Source organism: Homo sapiens, chromosome 6 (genome assembly GCF_000001405.40).
Source record: "Homo sapiens chromosome 6, GRCh38.p14 Primary Assembly".
Taxonomy (NCBI): Eukaryota; Metazoa; Chordata; class Mammalia; order Primates; family Hominidae; genus Homo; species Homo sapiens.
Window position 1 is genome coordinate 161,152,618 of NC_000006.12, and position 21,775 is coordinate 161,174,392.

The 21,775-nt window shown below is 48.9% G+C and overlaps 1 protein-coding gene and 1 long non-coding RNA gene across 2 annotated transcripts in view, besides 8 other annotated features; both read right to left on the reverse strand.

Moving 5' to 3' along the window:
* AGPAT4 (1-acylglycerol-3-phosphate O-acyltransferase 4) overlaps positions 1-21,775 on the reverse strand; it is a 144,095-nt gene that overhangs the window by 22,651 nt on the left and 99,669 nt on the right. The window contains exons 3-5 of the mRNA NM_020133.3: positions 13,631-13,800; positions 1,532-1,693; positions 729-882 (exon numbers count right to left, since the gene is read on the reverse strand). Coding sequence (NP_064518.1) covers positions 729-882; positions 1,532-1,693; positions 13,631-13,800 — 486 coding nt within the window. The remainder of the gene's footprint in view (positions 1-728; positions 883-1,531; positions 1,694-13,630; positions 13,801-21,775) is intronic.
* Positions 5,660-6,161: an enhancer, noted in NCBI's record as "H3K27ac hESC enhancer chr6:161579309-161579810 (GRCh37/hg19 assembly coordinates)". NCBI's record gives its function as "activates a minimal SCP1, AML or CMV promoter by ChIP-STARR-seq in primed H9 embryonic stem cells {active_cell/tissue: H9 hESC(primed)}" and the evidence as "EXISTENCE:reporter gene assay evidence [ECO:0000049][PMID:30033119]".
* Positions 6,162-6,661: an enhancer, noted in NCBI's record as "H3K27ac hESC enhancer chr6:161579811-161580310 (GRCh37/hg19 assembly coordinates)". NCBI's record gives its function as "activates a minimal SCP1, AML or CMV promoter by ChIP-STARR-seq in primed H9 embryonic stem cells {active_cell/tissue: H9 hESC(primed)}" and the evidence as "EXISTENCE:reporter gene assay evidence [ECO:0000049][PMID:30033119]".
* On the reverse strand, positions 7,497-9,365 carry AGPAT4-IT1 (AGPAT4 intronic transcript 1). The gene has a single exon (NR_024277.1). It is a non-coding gene; the product is annotated as an AGPAT4 intronic transcript 1 (long non-coding RNA).
* Positions 8,067-8,625: an enhancer, noted in NCBI's record as "H3K27ac-H3K4me1 hESC enhancer chr6:161581716-161582274 (GRCh37/hg19 assembly coordinates)". NCBI's record gives its function as "activates a minimal SCP1, AML or CMV promoter by ChIP-STARR-seq in primed H9 embryonic stem cells {active_cell/tissue: H9 hESC(primed)}" and the evidence as "EXISTENCE:reporter gene assay evidence [ECO:0000049][PMID:30033119]".
* Positions 9,313-9,813: an enhancer, noted in NCBI's record as "H3K4me1 hESC enhancer chr6:161582962-161583462 (GRCh37/hg19 assembly coordinates)". NCBI's record gives its function as "activates a minimal SCP1, AML or CMV promoter by ChIP-STARR-seq in primed H9 embryonic stem cells {active_cell/tissue: H9 hESC(primed)}" and the evidence as "EXISTENCE:reporter gene assay evidence [ECO:0000049][PMID:30033119]".
* Positions 13,236-13,945: an enhancer, noted in NCBI's record as "H3K4me1 hESC enhancer chr6:161586885-161587594 (GRCh37/hg19 assembly coordinates)". NCBI's record gives its function as "activates a minimal SCP1, AML or CMV promoter by ChIP-STARR-seq in naive H9 embryonic stem cells {active_cell/tissue: H9 hESC(naive)}" and the evidence as "EXISTENCE:reporter gene assay evidence [ECO:0000049][PMID:30033119]".
* Positions 15,428-16,023: an enhancer, noted in NCBI's record as "NANOG hESC enhancer chr6:161589077-161589672 (GRCh37/hg19 assembly coordinates)". NCBI's record gives its function as "activates a minimal SCP1, AML or CMV promoter by ChIP-STARR-seq in naive H9 embryonic stem cells {active_cell/tissue: H9 hESC(naive)}" and the evidence as "EXISTENCE:reporter gene assay evidence [ECO:0000049][PMID:30033119]".
* Positions 17,200-17,494: an enhancer, noted in NCBI's record as "tiled region #12533; HepG2 Activating non-DNase unmatched - State 10:DNaseD". NCBI's record gives its function as "activates a minimal TATA promoter and a strong SV40 promoter by Sharpr-MPRA in HepG2 cells {active_cell/tissue: HepG2}" and the evidence as "EXISTENCE:reporter gene assay evidence [ECO:0000049][PMID:27701403]".
* Positions 17,896-18,005: an enhancer, noted in NCBI's record as "active region_25412". NCBI's record gives its function as "activates an Ori minimal core promoter by ATAC-STARR-seq in GM12878 lymphoblastoid cells {active_cell/tissue: GM12878}" and the evidence as "EXISTENCE:reporter gene assay evidence [ECO:0000049][PMID:35858748]".

Here is a 21,775-nt window from a genome sequence, read left to right on the forward strand (position 1 = left end):
AGAGGATAAGGCCGAGGAAGGCGGCAGCATGGGGCCGGGAGCCGCATTCAGCTGGGTTCTAGCTCCCTCCAGGAAGGAGACAGCTTCGCCTGAAGTGCTTTGCCTGAGAAGGAGCACAGGAAGCCGCCCCCAGGGCCTGGAGCCCACGGAAAGGGCCAAGGGACTGTGAGGGCGTGGGGAGGCCAGGTGTGCAGAAGGACACAGAGGGTGTTTCTGAACTGGAGACAGAAGGGTCAAAAAGAAGACAAAAGCATGACAAGAGGCCAGAGGCAAGTTGTTGCTATTTTCTTCTTCTTACCGATGGCCATTTAGGGTTCCAGACTCCGAGGTCAGCTGTGACAGACCACAAGGTCAGAGTTCAGCTGATGCCAACAGGTGGGCAAGAAATGCCCCTCAAACCCAACTGTGCTGTCTTGGGCCTGCAGGCCTGGACCCAGGTTACCCCATGGGCCATCCAGGCACCCAGCACATTTGCACAGCAGAGGGCAGCGCTGGCCTGGGCACCCCAGGAAAAGCAGGCACAGGCCCACCCTGAGTGCCAGCCAGGGGTGCAAATGCCATTTGACCTTGGTTCCCAGTCACAGAGACTGGACTTGAGCAGCCACTCTGAGCTCCTAGCCTCAAGTCAGCTGGGAAGTGCTGGCAGGAAGCAAGCTCTGCCCATCCGGAGCTGGGGCTTGTCTTCCTCGCTGCCACGGGGAGGCCCAGGGCCACGCACTCTTCCTTACCTACATTTCTCAAGCTCCTCACGGTGATGGCGAAGCCCTTGGTTCGTGGCAACAGGTGATGCTTGAGGCGAGGCAGCCCCTTGGCCCGGGCCACCTGCATGCTGATCTCATGCTTCTTCTCCGTGAACCGTGTGCCCTCACAGTGAATCAGGAACTGGAAGGAAGGAGGCAGGAGTCGCACGCAGCCTCGGGGTCACACACAGCCCTGGGGTCATGCATGGCCCTGGGGTCACACACAGCCCCAGGGTCACATATGGCCACACGATCACACAGGGCCCCATGGTTACATACAGCCCTGAGGTCACACACAGCCCTGGGGTCACATACAGCCCTGGGGTCACACACAGCCCTGGTGTCATGCCTGGCCCTGGGGTCACACACAGCCCCAGGGGCACATATGGCCACACGATCACACAGGGCCCCATGGTTACATACAGCCCTGAGGTCACACATAGCCCTGGGGTCACACACAGCCCTGGGGTCACACATAGCCCCAGGGTCACATATGGCCACATGATCACACACGGCCCCATGGTCACACACAGCCCTGGGGTCACACACAGCCCTGGGGTCACACACGGCCCCATGGTCATACACGGCCCCACAGTCATACGTGGCCCCACGGTCACACACGGCCCCATGGTCACATACATCCCTGAGGTTATACACAGCCCTATGGTCACACACAGCCCTGGAGTCGCACAGGACCACACAGTCACGTGTCCTGTGGAAGTCACATGGGGGTCCCACGGTCACAGTCCTGCAGGAGCCCTTGGGACACAGCTGCTCTGGTGCCTACATACAAAATACTTCTCGGGGTAGTCCCGGAGGTGCTGCAAACTGGTGGCAACCGTCTTGCGATCCTGCTCCCACTTGCGCGAACAGAAGACCATCTCGGTGAAGTACCACATCCAGCCGATAATTGGGACATAGGCCAGCTCTTTCTTGGCCAGGACCTTGGAGCCCTGAAACAGAAGAAGGAGCCCAGGTGCCCATGAAGGAGACGTCAGAGCCACCTGCCGGGGCTGTTGGAGACTGAAGTAGAAAAAGAGGAGGGGACGTTCACACCAGACGCCTCGGGACAGTCCCAGAACACATGCTGTCGAGGCCATGGACCCTGGTGCCCTCCCCACCTTTCAGCTAGAGGTCCAGGTTGTGCTTGCCCTGCCAGTGTGGGAGCAGGGGGCAGGGGCACCCTGGTTCTCAGCGCAGACGGCAGGAGTCAAGAAGGCAGCAGCGAGCAGTCACAGGTATTCAGGGTCCTGACGATGCTCCCACCACCATCCAAACGGTTTCTAGGTTATCACCGTCACATACTCGCTAAGCCCACCGTGCAGCTGTGTGACACTAATTTGTGCACCTCTTTTCTGCAGATCTCACTGAGTTTTGTGATATTACAAAATATAGTAATTCTTGATCGCTGAAAATGTCAAACGCTAGAAAATGTAGCATTCCTAGGTGTGAGGTTAACATCCTTCTTGAACAGTGGTTGGCCAAAGATTCATTTGAATCCGATTTTTCCGAGACAGCTCAACTCACTCTGCTGAGCTCTGCAGTTGAGGCAAACAGGAGTCTCCGCTCACAGAGCAGGCTGCGGAGCCCAGTGGGATCTCCGGGTACAGCTGGTCCAAGCTGGGAGTAAAACCCAGACCAGGAGATGTGCTCGGTGCCCTCCACACCCGCTGCCAGCATGTCCTTGAGGCTGAGACGGGGCAGAAGCACCTGCCAGAGACCTTCTTGAGGCTGACGCAGGTGCACGAGCTAGGCCCCACAGGTCCCCTCTGGGGAGTCTCAGGGCAGTCCTGGGTCCCCAGGGCTCGGTGTGGCCCTCCCCAGCCAGGCGTCCACTACATCAGTCCCCCTACACTGAGGAAGACCAGGGCTTCAGTGGGATGGACGGGGCAGTGGAGACACAAAAACTGCTTTTTATCTGATGGATGTTTATCTTTTCACCTTAATTTTGGAACTGGCCAAGATGCTCCTTGATCAGTGGGTCGATGACTGATCAATGGGATATCAGCGGTCAGGGCAGCCCTAAACCTAGGATGCCCACAGCGCAGAGAGCTCCGGCTTCAACACAGCCCTCTCTCCTCTCCTCCCCGTTACACCCATGCCTCTCCGCAGCTCCAGCTCAGCACAGGGTCAGTAAGCCGTGTCCCCCAACCTACTGGCAGAACAGAAAAAGGTCTAAACAGCCAATTGCTACCCTACTTTAAAAAAACAAGAAACTTCTTCCCTCACATGGGATAGAAAAGGCAGATACCTTCTAGGTTTAGCATCTCCATTTTCTGATGGAGTTTGTTTTTCACACAAATCCAACATGCAGATTCTCTCCAAGAAAACTTAGCCATGAAATCGGAGGCCCTATCTCCAGGGGACTCCGGGAACATCCCCGTGGGTGGGTGAACCCACTGGTGCGGGTGTGAGGGCTTACCGTGTGCTGTGCCCATGGTATTTTTTAAAATTATATTTACCTGAACTCATTCCAAACATGCAGTCATTTGAAGGAGCTATAAATGATGATTGGTTCTGCAGCCAGGAAGGGGCCACAGACTAAAGCAGCAGCTGTTGGCCCTGGGAAGGTGAGAGGTCCCATGCAGCCAATCATGGCTTCTGCTGGGGAAAAGCACTCTCAGGGATATTTCCCGTTCACAATTCTATCTTGCAAGATCCTAGTGGGTCCTAGTGGTTGGCCTCTGATGACCTGCTGCTAAATGGAAACGACAACTTTGACAGTGATGCGGCTTATCTAGACCCGTAGATGGTCACCTGGGATGGGAGTCTCTATCTCCATCCCTCTTAGATCACCAAAAATGTTTAGATATCCCACGGTAGACATGTCACGTGGGTTATGGTGTGTACCAGATCTTGTATAACACTAGAGAGGAGTCAGCAAGCTACTGCCCTCGGGACAAGCCTGCTCCTCTGCCTGCTTTTGTAAGTGACGTCCTGTGGCCACACAGCCTCTTGTCCATGTGCCTATTGTCTGCAGCTGCCTTCACGCTACACACAGGAGTGTTTTTTGACAGACACGCTGTGGTCCACAAAACCTAAAATATTCATTCTCTGGCCCATTCCAGATGACATTTAGAGCCACTAAATTTAGAGCCACTAATTAGAGCCTAATTTAGAGCCACTAAAACTTGTTTTCTATGACTGTGTAATGGCTAGGCAATGGTTTACTGTATAATACTAAATTTTTAAAAGATCTGGAACAAAGGTGAGTCTATAGCATTATTATGACTTTATGAAAAAAGTAAAGCAGAGAAAAACAACAGTAGTTGTTGCTGGGCTGTTGGGAACAGGCCCCCAAAATCTGGCCATAAACTGGCCCCAAAACTGGCCATAAACAAAATCTCTGCAGCACTGTGACATGTTCATGATGGCCATAACACCCACACTGGAAGGTTGTGGGTTTACCAGAATGAGGGCAAGGAACACCTAGCCTGCCCAGGGCGGAAAACCGCTTAAAGGTGTTCTTAAACCACAAACAATAGCATGAGCAATCTGTGCCTTAAGGACATGCTCCTGCTGCAGTTAACTAGCCCAACCTATTCCTTTAATTCACCCCATCCCTTCGTTTCCCATAAGGGATACTTTCAGTTAATTTAATATCTATAGAAACAATGCTAATGACTGGCTTGCTGTTAATAAATACGTGGGTAAATCTCTGTTCAAGACTCTCAGCTCTGAAGGCTGTGAGACCCCTGATTTCCCACTTCACATCTCTATATTTCTGTGTGTCTTTAATTCCTCTAGCACCGCTGGGTTAGGGTCTGCCTGACCAAGCTGGTCTCAGCACTGGGCAGTCATTTACAAGTGATTTTTATTTTGTTAGATTTTCCAGTTTTTTATTGTAAACATATTTCACAGTATCCCTGTAACAATGTCACTTTTAAGAAGGGGCTGACATCAGCATGCTTTCGCCATCTGCTTTGGGAATATAAGTGAGGCTCTGGGTCAGAAACAGTTTTGTTTTGTTTTGAGACAGAGTTTTGCTCTTGTCGCACAGGCTGGAGTGCAATGGCACAATCTTGGCTCACTGCAACCTCCGCCTCCCAGGTTCAAGTGATTCTCCTGTCTCAGCCTCCTGAGTAGCTGGGATTACAGGTGCCCATCACCATGCCTGGCTAATTTTAGTATTTTTTGTAGACACAGGGTCTTACCATGTTGGCCAGGCTAGTCTCTAACTGCTGACCTCAGGTGATCTGCCTGCCTCGGCCTCCCAAAGTGCTGGGGTAACAGGTGTTTTTGATGATCAAAGGGAAAAGAAGAGACATAACTTTCTTTATACTGGCTTAATCCATCTTTCAGCCTTAAAATTTTGGATGTTATCAATATGTCTAGGTTTTGATGTTAACTATGTTTGGTAAGAAACATGTTAAAATATTAAGGTAGAAGCTTTTACTTCTTCAAACTGAAGAAATGTCACTCAATTCTCTTTCCCTGGCAGGGCTGCATGAAAAGCTCTGGAATGAGACAGTCCTGTTTCTAACCAGGCTCTACCACGACCCAGCTGTGTAACTGTGCTCAAGACACCCAATCCTTCTGAGCTTCTGTTTCCCCTCTGTGTGATGAGGAAGACAACACATATTCCCTGGTGTCCCTGTAAAGACTGAATAATGTATGGAAACATCTACAAAAGCACAAAGTTGAGACTCTGACATGGGCGTTCAATAACTTGTAGCTATTATTTTCATCCCAGAGCAAGCAGTATCTGAACACCTCCTTATTCAACCCATTTTCTCTGCCATGCTTTAGCGTAATAGTAACAACAATAGATTACATTTATTTAAGCACAACTGAAGAGTCACTGTGCACAGACAGTTGCCCAAGTTAACTCACTTATGACAAAGAGACTAGAAACTGCTATTAAGACATACTGACAGTTCCCCCGGCAAAAGGTTCAATAGGCTATAACTATCATGGCTTTCCCAGGCCACTCAGAGGCTTCCATGTGTGATGCCAACAGCTTTCAGAGAGAATGTACAAGAAAATATACTAATTTCATCAATTCTGGATTTATTTCACAGGTCAACGTGAAAGGATTTACTGATGAGTTAGATGTATCAACAGATCTGTCTAGATACAAGCATATTTAGACAATCTAAAATTTTCACGTGGAGTAAACCACTATGGAGAGAGAGAGTGAAAGAGAGAGTTGTCTTAGGGCAGGTGCTTGGAGCTAATCTAGTTGAGCGACCCATCCTGAGGCTCCCCACAGCTCAGGGAAGCAGCCAGCCCCATGACCTGGTCTGCATCTCTGGCAAGTGGGCCAGCCCTTGCAGAGACCCTGGACGTTGGGAAGAGCTGACGCAGAGAGGGCCTGAGACCCAGTACTCTGACCCTGACCTTCAGAAGCTCTACAGCCTCTGGGGTGAAAAGGGATCGGAATGAGGCCATTCTAGTTAAGGTTTTCTCCAAAATGGCTACTCATCAAGGCTTCAGATGAAGATTCCAAACCCCGGTGCTGCGAGCAGCATGGCTGGGAGCAGCAGGGTATCCTGCTCCTGCACCGCCTCCACCCCCACTAACACCAGCAAGGAACCCCTCAGGGGCTGAGGCTCTATGGCCAGCTTTGTTTGCAAACGTCCAGTCATTCATGAAGGTTTCCCAGTAGGGTTACCAGTTAGTCAAGTGAGCCAAGGTCATTTATTTCTACTAAATATATAAAATGAGGTATCTTAAGTGGAACTTCAAAAACAGGTGAGATGTTCCTTAACAATAAAGCAGGCTAAACAGCCTGCCTTTGAGTCCTTTGACTGTTTTCTTGACTACCAGCTGGAGCCACTGTAGCAAATGTTTCAGTTCCCTGGAGCCAAGACAAGCCATCCAGCCCTATCACTCCAGGGTCCCCACAAGTCTCCCCATAGCACAGCCTCCATTCTGATGTATGGTGCATAAGCGCATCAGATTGGAATCTTCAACCCAAGGCTGCTCTGTCTGTGCAAAGGTATTGATTAAGAAGCCCCCTATGCCAGGCATTATGCAGGTGCCGAGAACTCAATGCTGGTTATGATTACCTGTGGCCTTGAGGTGCCCAGAGTCTAGTGGGAAGGGAGAAGCAGAAAGCTTTCAGTTTCTGTGTTCCACTTCTGCCACTAAACTCTGCCAGTAAGTTGTTGTACAGACCCCTTCTGGCAAGAAAGGTGTGTGCAAGAGAGGATGGTATGGGCCTGGAATCTCTGAAATCTGTCCCTAGTTATAGCAAAATGCAGAAAAGACTGGAGCTCAAAATAATGAATCAGTTTGTGTGCACGCGTGCGTGTGTGTGTGTGTTCATCAAAAGGTGAGAGACTCCATTCTCTTTTTTTTGAGACGAAGTTTCACTCTTGTTGCCCAGGCTGGAGTGCAGTGGCACAATCTCAGCTCACTGCAATCTCTGCCTCCCGGGTTCAAGCGATTCTCCTGCCTCAGCCTCCGGAGTAGCTGGGATTACAGGCACCTGCCACCGTGCCTGGCTAATTTTTTGTATTGTTAGTAGAGACGGGGTTTCACCATGTTGGCTAGTCTGGTCTCGAACTCCTGACCTTCAGGTCTCCCAAAGTGCTGGGATGGGATTACAGGTGTGAGCCACCAAACCTGGCTTTTCTTTTTTTTTTCTTTTTTTGAGATGGAGTCTTGCTCTGTTGCCCAGGCTGGAGTGCAGTGGTGCAATCTCAGCTCACTGCAACCTCCGCCTCCAGGGTTCAAGCGATTCTCCCACCTCAGCCTGTGGAGTAGCTGGGATTACAGACACCTGCCACCACACCCAGCTAATTTTTTTTTTTTTTTTTTTTTTTTTTTTTGTATTTTTAGTACAGACGAGGTTTCAACATGTTGGCCAGGTTGGTCTCAAATTCCTGACCTCAGGTGATCCACCCGCCTCGGCCTCCCAAAGTGCTGGGATTAGACTCCATTCTTGCCAACTGCAGTAGCACAAGTGTGCCTGGCCTTGCTCACATTGCATTCCTTTCTCTTGCTTTCTGCCTTCTCTGATGCTGAGAGGAAAATGGTGTAGACCTTACACTGCCAGAAAAATCTCAAGAGAGTCTCAAAACAAAATGTATGCTGTTCCACAATTAGTCACAGCTGCAGGGGAAATGCATAAAGCAAACATTAAATGAAAGCACTCTCTAAGAATTCACCTCAGACTGGAATTAGAGACTTTATCCACGTGGGACAGAGTACGCGGGGTTCTTGCACTCCTGACTGGCCTCCTCCAGCCAACTTCCCTCTGTTTACCAGGCCCCAAACTATTCTGGGTTTGACAGGCATGCAGATGTGCGGAGAGGAGAAGAGGACCGTGCAGGCTTGAAGCAGCAGGATACTGATCACTACTGGCTCTGCTTTGAGGGGTCACGGTCACGGCTGTCAGGACACAAAGATGGGAGAGGAGCTCCCTGCACAAAGCCCTTGTCCACCCTGCCTGGACACAGGTCCTCAAGGCCCCTTCCCAGTTTCTCTTCTGAACGGACAGCCCAGCCCTTGTGGGATGGCGTTAGCCCCGCAGATGGGAAGGCAGAGCAGAGGCGTTACAGGGGTAGGTGGGAAAACAGGACGTCCCCAGGGCAGAAAGTAATAGGAGCGATTGGCCTCGCCCAGCACCCCAGCACCCTATAGATAATAGGTGCTTGCTAAACAGTTGCAGGAAGCACAGGCAGATGGGGCATCAGAGGGCCCTAAGCACAGAGCACGAAAGGGGGACAGTTCATGGGATGATACCAAGTCGGTGTACAGCAGACAGCACAGGCTGTGACCGTTTGCTGAGGGCTGCGCACAGAGGAGGAGGAAGCCCCAAGCTTTCAACAACCCTGGCTTTATGAGCGGTGGGATCAGACTCTGGCTTGTTAAAGACACTGCCAGAGGATCCTGGTCAACAAAGAAGAAGACCCCGGTGTGTCCAACGTGGGACCGGACTTTTACAGATGAGCATGCGCTCCCACCTCCAGGATGGTAGTCGGTATGAACCCGCGGTGCAGCCATAGTCCCGTGAGCTGCCCACTTCCTGCCCTGGCCAGTGGTTCGCCTGCTACCTCGGTCGTCACCATTATCGGGTTCCTCATCCATGTGATTCCAGATCCCAGCACACTTGCCAAACCCAGTGAATGGTAAGAGGCAGAGGGTGGCGTCCCAGCCCATTCCTAGTGCAAGGTCTGTGCCTGCAGAGCTGATGAATTCACATGGTGGCGGGCAGCACTGGGTATCTGCCATAGGCTCAGGTGATGCCAGCAGTGAGCAGGGTGCAAGACCACCCTACAGAGCTGACAAAACCATGGCGGTGGGCATATCTGCTGAAAATACCCCTCCATATCTGGAAACTTCTAACTTCTCTTCAGCCAAAGAGCCCTTGACAAGTGCATGTGTATGAAGAAGCTGGGGTAAAGGCGGTGAAATAATGCTGTGTTGCATGAACACGGTCTCCTAGAGAAACCACACACAATCAACACTCACTGGACACGTATTTTGAAGGTATATCAATTGCTATCGTTGTCATGATCGAAAATCCTTCGTTTAAAGAGGCAGCACAGGGCTTTATGGGCGCCCTCACGCACAGGCACTCTGCCTAGGAGGGATAATGCCACTCTCCTCCTCTCACCTTTCTCTGTGCAAAGAAATGCAATGCTGCTATTTTTCATTTGTTTTATTTATTGATTTATGTTTATAGAGACAGAGATCTCACTGTGTTGCCCAGACTGGTCTCAAATTCCTGGCTTCAAGCCATCCTCCCATCTTGGCCTTCCAAACCACTGGAATTACAGGCATGAGCCACTGTGCCAGGCCAGAAATGCAACATCTCAATCTGTGTTCAGGCCCAGCTGTATTACATATTTACTAAGAGGGCAAGGGAAGGTCTCAGACCAAATGTCATGTCACCGTGGGGTGGGCAGCCGCCAAGGGGCCCTGTGATCCTGGCCTCCTGGCACCCACGCCCCTGCACACCCTACCCCACATCCCTGGGGCACGGGCGGTGCTTACTGATCCACTTCCAACCAACAGTATGGATAGAAAGGATGGGAGGTCTCTCCCGGGTCCCGGTTACAGAAGCTTCATGGCTCCTGCCCCGGGCGCCCGCTCTCTCTCTCTTGCATGGCTCAACCTCAGGGGTGCAGTTGCCATATTCCGGGAAACACTGTGTTTTAAAACAAGCCTGTGTGGCGAGGGATGGAGGCCGGGCAGCAAACCCGTGAGCAAGCTTGGAGGCAGATCACACACAAGCCCCTCCCGAGAGACCCTGCCAGATCCCCCGCTCAGCTGCACCTGGATTCCTGACCACATAGGCAGGGGACCTTTATGACACGCTTGTTGTTTTAAGCCGCTATGTTTTGGGTCTCATCACGCTGCCATGGATAACTAATCCACATGGCTTCTTTAAGGATCTGAAGACAAATATCCCAGTTGGCCCGGCAGATAAATATTGATAATATAATAATAGCTGCTGCTCATGGTGTGCTTGCCAGGGCCTGGCGCTACCCAGACACTGAACGATCATGCTCTTATGCAACCAGCCGGGACCTGCTAAGGGAAAAAGATAAGCAAATGGGGACGTGAAGCCTCAGGAACCTGACCTGCGCTTGCACACCACGGTTTGTTGGGCACCTTAGTGACCTGTGCCCCAGCTGACTGCGTGTCACTCTCATCTCCAGGGAGGCAAGGTTCAGCGTGTGACTCCAAGATCAACCAAAGCCTTCAGAGCCCTGGCACATGCCAGGAAGCACTGGCTCCCAGGAGAACCAGAGCCTCTGGGGACAGGCACTGCAATGAGCAGTGGCCTCATGGGATCTTGAGTACATTTAAAAGGTTGAAAGCCTCTTTGTTAAAAAGACAATTCCATTACTTTCCCCAAAAAGACCAATTTTACATTTAAAAATGCCACCTTCGTGAATTTCTGCAAATTTCATTGACTTCAATTTAAACTCATTTCCTCTTGGACTGTGATAGGTGAGGATGAAAAATGCCTGGTCAGGAACCTTCTTCTGTTCCTTTCCTCTTTAAAAAGCAAATTCCACAGACTCCAGAAGGATCCCAACATCATGTGTTATTTAAGAAAAAACAGAGAGATGAATGAGGTTGTTTTTTTTTTCTGAAGGTCATTAAAGACAAAAGATGTTGCTGAACAATGAATATAAGGCAATGCCGTTCTTTACCCCCTTCCAGGGTGGCAGAGATGAGCACCAGCCATCTCACCCACCGTCATGGGCCACAGCTCTCCAGTAGATGGCAAAGCTGTTCCCTGTGACATGGGGAGGGGGTTCCCTGGGAGGGTACAGGCTGGCAGCTCCCATCCGCCCCAGCCAGTGCCTGCCATGTGCCTGCCCCACTCAGTCCTCTCCTGGCACCTGCTCTCTCTAGCTCCTTGCTTTGTGAGAATGTGCATAACAATGGCACTGGCTGTTTCTGTGGTGTTTGGAGAAGAGAGGACTCAGGGCTTAAGGAAGCACTTTAGCAAGAATCCAGAAAACCCAAGGCCCCCACTGAGCAAGGCTCCCAAACTTCCAGTGAGAAGAGAAGAGGCATCGCCCTGGCCCCAGGCTCCCAGACCTGCCTATTTCACCTGTAAGTGGAGCCCCCGAAGACTCTAATCCTAAGCACAGTCTCCACCATCAGTGGCAGGGCGCAGACCCCCTTACACACAGCATTAGTTGTTTGGGTGTTCACAGTAATGAGTGAAGTCCTATAAATAGAATATCACCGATGAAATCAAGGGGAGGTGCGGTCCCTATGCTGCAGGTGGGATGGGCGTGCTGTTGACTTGCTTTCCCGCCATCAGCGCTCCCGCCCTTATGCTCAGAGTTGTAAAGTGATCATGGATTCGGAAGCCTTTGGGAGCAAAACCCTAAACGGTGCTGAGATTAAATTCCCGCTCCGTGAATGTCTCTTCCCGTCTGGGGGCTATGTCCTCTCTCTGGACCTGGGTCCCTCCCTGCATGTGTTGTGGGGCTCACCTTCTCCCTCATCTGTGCCTGTCCCCGTGCCTGCTAGTGCTGGGCATCTGGGTGCTTCTCCAGCATCTCTGTGCATGACCCTGCTCTGCCAGCTCCTGCAACTCCATCCCCAACCCCATGAAGGTGCGGGTGACTTGCACCCCTCGAATGAGGCCTTTGCACATCACGAGCCAGGAAGGTATTAGAAGCCTGGTCCTTACTGCAGCTGGTCTGGGTCGTTTTAGGATGGTCAGGGTCCTGTTTCTGGAGCAGGTCTTGGGCCCCAGGGCCCCTGCTTTTGTGCCCCCAACATCTTCCAGGGGAAAGAGCAGAAGCTTTGAAAGCAGACTTAGGAGCTATTGTCCTCGGGCAAATCACTCAGCCAAACTGAGGCTCTGGGGGTTTATTTATAAAATGTGGATAATAATATCCTAAGGATTAGAAATTACGGAAATAAGGTGAACAGCACACGGAGTGAGCTCGTGGGTGTAATGCCACCAAGGGGCAAGCAGGGATTGGAAGGCACCCCCAAGTTCAATGGGCCTTCTGCTCTACCTCAGAGACTCCTGGTCCACGAATTATGAATGTTTGCACATTCTAAGCATGAACACTACCAGAAAGTACTTACAAAGCCTGGAAAATCACCAGCTGCCTCTAAACTACAGTTTGAATTCCAGGAGACGCTGGCACCTCAGAAAGCCTAGCTGTAAAGGTGGTAAGACAGGTGACCTGACAGTCAAGATGCACCGGCTCCCCATACCCTTCCTCCTGGGCAGGAGAAGAACCCTGCCATTCACCCCTGGTATCCATGACGGGGTTAGGACCATGACATTCTAAGGGGCGATCTCTCATCAGAGAGAATAAATCCACAAAGCTGTAACTCAGATCTCTGCCCAAGTTCTCCACATCAGAGAATGATAGTTACTAGAATGTTTGCTCTTGTTCCTAGAAATATATTTGCACACACACACACGTGTACACACAAGAAGATATCAAGTTAGCACTGGGAGAATAAATAGGAAAACAAAAGGAGAAAACAGTGGGCAGGAGGCTATCTTCATCTGCCTCCAGGAACCAGACCCGTCTAGTTCCCTATGTCCTCCATGGCCTGATAGCCTCTGTCTCCAATCTTCTATATTCTAAACACCACGATTTTGTCTTCAGGGGCTACCAAAAAGCAAGGTGATTTCAGCAGCCCCCGTATCTGTTCTACAGGGCATTGTTCCCAGGTGCAAAACCTGATCTCTAAGTTCTGGTGCAAACTCTTAGGACCTTTCCTAGCCCCAGACCAATGTACACTGTGTACACTGTGATTCCTACGGAATACCTGAGTACCGCAGATGACTCTGATTCAGCTATGTGACACAGGCTCAACCGCTACACGCTGCAGTGTGTTGAAGACGACAAAAGTCAACTGAAGAGACCCAGTTCCAAAGGCATGCAAGCTACGTGCAAGAGGTCAAACTAGTTGGGAAAAAAAAAAAACAGAATTTCAGAATAATTCTGAATTTTGCAGTTCACTCTCTCACTTATGGACTCAAAGTTCTTAAGCCTTCAACGATCAAAATGCAGAGGTGATGTCTGCCTGTTAGCCAAGGAGGCAGTAGAGCATGGAATTAAGAAATATGGATGGGAGTGAAATCCAAATCTAATTACAGCTGTGTGACTCTGAGCCGAATATTAAGCTCTATATAACTTAGTTTTTAAAAAATGGAGTGTGGCACATCATCTATTCATGTTGCTGTAAGGATTAAATAAATGAATCATATGTAAAATGGCCGGCAGGTAGCAATTGTTGAGTACCTCTTATGATTGCCCATAAGAAGCTGTTAAGACTGACTCCCAGCAAGAATAAAAAGCAGTTTATTAGGACCATTTCATCAAGTAGAAACTCTGTTGATTCTTCTGCAAGTTCTGAATGACCAGGAGCAAAAAGACAAGTGGTGGGGCTGAACCAGAGAAATGTGTGAGGCAGGGGGGAATGCACTTCTGACTTACCCCTAACAGCCCAAAGCGTTCGGACAGGCTCCAGCCACACAGAAAGTCAATTTCAAACTTGTGGTTGAGAACCACGATGGCATTTTCCTTCCCATACTTGAGGTAGGCGCGCGGGTCCGTGAAGATGGTGCATTCCGTGCCCGACCACCACTCCAGCAGCATCACCAGCTCTGGAACAAACCACAACAGACAGATGTTTACTACATGCAGCCTTGTCCTGGGAGCCCTGCTGAGAGCAGGGCTCTGCCCTCCCAGCTAGGGGAGAAAGCAACTTCTACGGGCAAAGTTCTGGATCGTTGCAGCACAGACCTTGGTCCTTGAAAGGGTTCAGAAGCGGAAGGAAACACGAGAAAGACTTCACAACATTCTCCAGGGAAGAAGAGAAGGATACTTGGAGAAGGTAAATGACTTACTCCTTGATTAAGTATCTTGGGGGAAAATAAATCAGAAAGCCAGAATCCGTCAAGAATTCATGCCCTTGTGTTTACAGAGCTCTGAAAGGCAGCGTGAGATGAGGTATAGAATTCTTAATATCCTGGAAAATGACTAATTGGGATACTTATAAACTCCATCAAAGAATATTAAATACCCAACTTTCCTCTCCCATTTCTGACACTTGAGGGCAGGGGAAGAATGGAGAACGGCAGATCCAGCCGCAGGAGCCCCAGCACCTGCAGGGCAGCGGGAGTGAGAGTCAGCCCACAGCAGGTCTGAAGAGAACTATTGAAATAGTCTTTGTAGGGGCTTGTGAAAAGAAAAAGATTCTTTCTTCAGGCAATCATGACCACTTGCAGTTTATTCTTCAGTGATGCCTCCCATCCAGGGAACCTATTCCCAATCTGGCAGGCTCAGGAAAAGCCTCTAGGGTAGAAACTGTCCAGAAAAACAGTTGAATGTGGGTGATGGACTTTGAAATGGACTCTTGAAGTTGACGGTGTTCAGTAGGGGTGGGCGCCTGAGTGCTCTGCGAGGGTTGTGCCTCCTCCCCCTTTCTTTTGAGATGGAGTCTTGCTCTGTCACCCAGGCTAAGTGTAGTGGTGTGATCACGGCTCACTGCAGCCTCAACCTCCCAGGCTCAAGTGATCCTCCTACCTCAGCCTCCTGAGTAGCTGGGACTACAGGTGTGCACCACCATGCCCAGCTAATTTTTTTGTATTTTTTGTAAAGACGCAGTTTTGCCATGCTGCCTACTGGGTAGACTCCTGGGTTCAAGCAATCCTCCTACCTCAGCCTCCTAAAGTGCTGGGATTACAGGCGTGAGCCACTGCACTGGGCCATGTGCCCCCCATTTTTAATCACTCGTTAGTGAAGCATGCATGCAGCAGAGGACTCACTCCCTCCCCACCCCATCCCTACCCTACAGGCAGGTGGATTTGGCCTTGACTCCAGTAAGCCTAGTGTTGTAGCTCAAGCGGCTGTCCTTGGAAACTTTTCTCCTCCAGGCTGGAAGCTGGAGGCTTGATGTGGAGCACCAGAGCCCTCTAGAAGGCATCACAGTCCAGTTTTTACGCAGTGAGCACTGCGGGACTTTGGACAAATTAACCTCCTAACACGACAGTGCCTTCATCTTTGGAATGGGGTTGCCCCAAAGGGTTCTGTGAACATAAAGCACCTAACACATAGTATGTGCTCAGCGTAGAGCACATTGTAAGTTCCCAGCAAACTGAAGCTATCAGTCTCCTTAAAAACGACGAAAACCACTCCCCTTCCTTCTCCAGAAATGAACAATAAAAAGTGTCTACCTATTTCTAGGAACTGAGAAAATATCAAGCTCCCATTCAGTTGTCCCACCAGGCCATAGCATTGCTGGAACCAGAAGCACAAGTCAAGGAATAGTGACGCATCCTGGGAGTTGGTTGTGGGGGCAGGAAGGCGGTGGTGGGGTGGGGGGCTAGGGTAACAACATGCAGCCTGGCAGGGCAGCCTGACAAAGGGACAGAGGGACAATTTGTTACCATGGGGCACGAAGATGCCTGTAGTGCTGGGCTGAGTTTTTCCAAGCCCGAGGATGGGAAGGATCAATCTACTCCATTACTGGCCAAAGGCCACAGATAAGCACCAAAGCACAACTCCACAGGGAGTCAGGGAGACAAAGCTGATGCTTCCAAGAGACTCACATTTCGTTTGTGTCACAGGCCAAATGCCTCTCTGTGGGACTCCTTCCTGCCTAAGGCCACTCTCACCGCCCCCTACCCCACTCACATGTTCCCCAGTACCCTCCACAGCCCTATCACAGCTGTGACCACAGCGTGAGGTTCTCTCCCCTACTATAGAGCACGGGCGCCACGAGACAGCAACTGTACTGTTTGGTTCACCCCGACCTTAGCCTCGACTCCAAGACTCAGCAAGAGCCTGGCACATGGATGCTTTCAACAAATGCCGCGTGATTACCTAATGCGTTCAAGCACTCTGCGAGATACAGGAGATGATTAAACATTAGATCAGATCCTGGCACCCCTCCAGCTTACTGTCCAGGGAAAAGACAGCTACACAACCACAAAACAACATGACAGGGAAAGGAGAAAGGCCTGCTAATAGGATGGCTGCTGAATATTGTCTTCATGGATTTGGGAGTCAGACACATCCAGGCTCCGATCCCGGTGGAGCCACTTACTAGTTGTGAGACTTCTGGCATGTTTCTCAATGTCCCCCTTCTCTGTAAAGTAGGGACAGGTAAATGCCGTTAGAGATGCTGTGGATATTAAATAAGAGCATGGACTCAAGGCACCTAGCATGACATGGGGCATAGCAGGCAATCAATAAATGGACAGCTTTTTAATTACTATTATATGCCTGATAATTTTATCACACACAAAGGCTCTGTGACCACTGAAGGGGAGAGGAAGGGTGGGGAGGAGACAGAGGCAGATGGAGAGAAACCCAGAGAGAGAACATCACAGAGACTTCTGGGTTACCAGAGTAAGGAGTTATGATTTATGATTTCATTCTAAAGGCAATATAAAAACCACTGGAGCATTTTTAAATAGACACACACCAACATCCAATTTGCATCTGAAAAAAAAATCACTCTGATTGAAACAAGAACAGACTGGAATAGGGAGGCCAGTTAGCGGGTGACTACATCAGCACAGCGAGAGGGGATGGTGCTGGGACCAGGTGGGGGAAGACCAAATTTCCCACTCACCTCAGCAGGCTGCTCACTAGACAACTAAACTCTGAACCTCACTGGATAAAAGAGCTTGATTTCCCTTTTTTGTTTTTTCCTTTCTTTTTTTTGAGATGGTGTGTCACTCTGTCATCCAGGCTGGAGTGCAGTGGCCCAATCATACATAGCTCACCGCAGCCTCAACCTCCTGGGTTCAAGCAATCCTTCCACCTTGGCCTCCCAAAGTGCTGGGATTATAGGCATGAGCCACCACGACTAGCCCATTTTCTTAATCAAATGATTTCACTTCTTTTTTAATTCACAGAAACACATTTATACAGTCACATTGTAAAATGATTCAAACAACCCAGAAGTATGTACAAGAAAATATAAAATTCCTCTAACTAGCTTCAGGATGTGTTACGCTGGCCTGGACTACATTTCCCAAACTTCCCTTTCTTGTATATTTCTGGTTAGAGGGCACCACAAGAGACACTCTTGGGAGGTTTGCAAGGTGGAAAGGAAATACCACCATTTTGTAGGTCACACATGTTTTTGCTGATCTGCTGATTCACGTCTTCAGCACAAAGCAGCGGCTAGGCCTGCTACTGCTCCTCCTTCCCCTGGATCCCCGCCAGCTTCTCTGAATCCCAGGCCAGGTGGTTGTATTTTGCTCTGTGACCAAGATCCCAGCTTCTGCAGGACATCCACACCATCAATGCCAGATGCAAAAGAACTGATGCAAGTTTTAGCCCATTCTCATGAGGCTCCCGCTTGTGCTTGGTGGTTCCAACATCTTGATCTCTCCCAGTTTATATCCATCGCCCCTTCCTGACCGCCTGCCCTGTGGACTGCAAGCTCCAGCATCACATGCAGATACAACTTCCCTACAGAGACTGCTAAACAAGCCCCCACAGCTGAATAAGGCCAATGAGATGATGTCTACATATCTCCCAGTGGTTTAGCTTCTTATTGAACCCTGACCGAGAGACACTTCCTCTTTACCGCCCCAACCTCCCTCCCTTCTCCAAGGTTAACCATTATGAACAGTTTGGAAAATAGTCTTATAGTTTTTTCCCCTAGGCATTTATACACATGCGCGTGCACACGTGCGCGCGCGCACACACACACACACACACACACACACACACACATACACATATACTCAAAAAGCTTTGCCTTTAGTTGAATGGCTTACCAGCTGATGTTTTAGTTGGATGTTCTTATGTAAATATACTGCACATGACTTACAAATATCTCCATGAATTTAGGTTTCATTTCCTCTCCTGTGTGGTTGCTTTCAATGCTATCAGCCAGAGCCTTCTCTCTACAGCTGCACAGCCAGCTCCACCTGGCAGCCCCTTCTTGTGCTGAAGAGCCCTACAGGAGCTGCTTCCATTTGAGGTGGGATGTCTGTCATTCAAATTAGATGCCTCTTTTTACCATCATGCATCAAATGCCAGGGCTTTCTAACTGCTCAGGGCTCAGGGCATGCAGCATTTCAAGTACGTTCAGCCTGTCCTTCCACTCTCACCATCAGTTCACAGTGGCTGCAGATCTTGGAATTGCTCCATCTCGTTCTCTTCCCACAAGATTCTGTCCCTGTACGCTCACTCCATGGAAAGGGCAGTGTCACCTCCTTTCAAAGGACATATTATTTAGAACCTCCAATTTAACTCAGAAAGTTACCAGTGGGCACCTGAGCAATCCATCCCGACCAGAAGCTATCAGCAGGTGCTGCACAACAGAGATGCTTGTGAGAAAGCAGGGCTTTCTGTTGTTTAGTTAAGGGAAAATCACCTGTTGAGAGTTTCAGGTTGCAATCCTGTAACTAGCGTTACAATGCCAGGAGCCCTACGAGGGTAAATCTAAGAGAAGCAAAGATAAGGTATTTGCTGTTTGTCTTAGTCCATTTTATGCTGCTGTAACAGAATAGTTGAGACTGGGCAATTTACAAAGAACAGAGATTTATTTCTTATAGTTCTGGAGGCTGGGAAGTCCAAAGTCAAGAGGGCTGCATCTGGCAAGGTCCTTCTTGCTGTGTCATCCCATAGGGGAAGGCAGAAGGCAGAAGGGCAAGCAAGCATGTACTCAAGTGAGAGAAATAAGGGAAAGCGGCTGAACTCATCCACTTAGCAGGAACCCACTGACCCACTCCTGAAATAATGGCATTAACAAGGGCAAAGCCCTCATGACCTAATCACCTCTTAAAGGCCCCACATCTCAACACTGTTGCATTGGGAATTAAATTTCCAGCCGCACATGGTGGCTCATGCCTGTAATTCCAGCACTTTGGAAGGCCAAGGCAGGCAGATCACAAGGTCAGGAGATCGAGACCATCCTGGCTAACACAGTGAAACCCTGTCTCTACTAAAAATACAAAAAAAAAAAAAAAAATTAGCTGGGCGTGGTGGCAGGCACCTGTAGTCCCAGCTACTCGGGAGTCTGAGGCAGGAGAATGGCATGAACCCAGGAGGCTGCACTTGCAGTGAGCCAAGATCGCACCACTGCACTCCAGCCTGGGTGACAGAGCAAGACTCCATCTCAAAAACAAAAAACAAAAAACAAAAAACCAAAAGTTTCCAACACATGAACTCTGGGGGACACATTCAGAACATAGCATCCCTGAAATATTTACCTTCTTGTCTAGGCATCCAAACTAACACATATTAAACAACCAGAAAAAGCAACCAAGGCTTTAACTTCATAAGAATTGGAGCCATTTGGTAGTTAATTGAAAAATAGTATATCTGGGAATGAAAACAATGCATCAAATCAGAATAAAAACAGGAGAAGAGGAAAGAGGGAAGGACTTATGACCTCCTAGAGAAAAGCCCAGAAGCTGTAAATGACCTGCACTAAGAGGAACCCTCAGTGCGAGAAGTGCAAGGAGGAAGGACATGGTCAGCGGAGATCCCAGGATCTGCAGATTCTGGGTCTTGCCCTTTAGGGTGAGTGAATACCCCAGCCACAGACATGTCCACTCAGGGCAGTGCCCACCACACCTGCCGAGCACAGGGGGCACCCCATCCAGGCCTGGGGTACACACAGACTGTGGGACTCATCACAGTGTGGAGAGGGCATCCCAAGGTGCACACACTACAGGGAATCCCAGAGAGCCAGGGGCACCAAAGAAGCCTGTCCCTAGCCAGGACGGCCACCTGGGAAAGGCCAGCTGGACAGAAAGGCCACAGGACAGAAAGGGAAGCCTGCCACCCACAGAGATGTGGTCAGGGCTTCTTCAATATCATATGGCAATTTTTGAAACTTTTGTCATATTTTTATTTTTTATTTATTATTATTATTATACTTTAAGTTCAAGGGTACATGTGCACAACATGCAGGTTTGTTACATATGTATACATGTGCCATGTTGGTGTGCTGCACCCATCAACTAGTCATTTACATTAGGTATATCTCCTAATGCTATCCATCCCCCTTCCCCCCACCCCACAACAGGCCCCAGTGTGTGATGTTCCCCTTCCTGTGTCCAAGTGTTCTCATTGTTCAATTCCCACCTATGAGTGAGAACATGCAGTGTTTGGTTTTCTGTCCTTGCAATAGTTTGCTCAGAATGATGGTTTCCAGCTTCATCCATATCCCTACAAAGAACATGAACTCATCCTTTTTTATGGCTGCATACTATTCCATGGTGTATATGTGCCAAATTTTCTTAATCCAGTCTATCATTGATGGACATTTGGGTTGGTTCCAAGTCTTTGCTATTGTGAATAGTGCCACAATAAACATATGTGTACATGTGTCTTTATAGCAGCATGATTTATAATCCTTTGGGTATATACCCAGTAACGGGATGGCTGGGTCAAATGTTATTTCTAGTTCTAGATCCTTGAGGAATCGCCACACTGTCTTCCACAATGGTTGAACCAGTTTACAGTCCCATCAACAGTGTAAAAGTGTTCCTATTTCTCCACATCCTCTCCAGCACCTGTTGTTTCCTGGCTTTTTAATGATCGCCATTCTAACTGACATGAGATGGCATATCATTGTGGTTTTGATTTGCATTTCTCTGATGGCCAGTGATGATGAGCATTTTTTCATGTGTCTGTTGGCTGTATAAATGTCTTCTTTTGAGAAGTGTCTGTTCATATCCTTCGCCCACTTTTTGATGGGGTTGTTTGATTTTTTCTTGTAGATCTGTTTAAGTTCATTGTAGATTCTGGATATTAGCCCTTTGTCAGATGGGTAGATTGTAAGATTTTTCTCCCATTCTGTAGGTTGCCTGTTCACTCTGCTGTGCAGTTTCTTTTGCTGTGCAGAAGCTCTTCAGTTTAATCAGATCCCATTTGTCAATTTTGGCTTTTGTTGCCATTGCTTTTGGTGTTTTAGTCATGAAGTCCTTGCCCATGTCTATGTCCTGAATGGTATTGCCTAGGTTTTCTTCTAGGGTTTTTATGGTTTTAGGTCTAACATTTAAGTCTTTAATCCACCTTGAATTAATTTTTGTATAAGGTGTAAGGAAGGGATCCAGTTTCAGCTTTCTACATATGGCTAGCCAGTTTTCCCAGCACCATTTATTAAATAGCGAATCCTTTCCCCACTGCTTGTTTTTGTCAGGTTTGTCAAAGATCAGATGGTTGTAGATGTGTGGTATTATTTCTGAGGGCTCTGTTCTGTTCCATTGGTCTATATCTCTGTTTTGGTACCAGCACCATGCTGTTTTAGTTACTGTAGCCTTGTAGTACAGTTTGAAGTCAGGTAGTGTGATGCCTCCAGCTTTGTTCTTTCAGCCTAGGATTGTCTTGACTATGCGGGCTCTTTTTTGGTTCCATATGAACTTTAAAGCAGTTTTTTCCAATTCTGTGAAGAAAGTCATTGGTAGCTTGATAGGGATGGCATTGAATCTATAAATTACCTTGGGCAGTATGGCCATTTTCACGATATTTATTCTTCCTATCCATGAGCATGGAATGTTCTTCCATTTGTTTGTGTCCTCTTTTATTTCGTTGAGCAGTGGTTTGTAGTTCTCCTTGAAGAGGGCCTTCACATCCCTTGTAAGTTGGATTCCTAGGTATTTT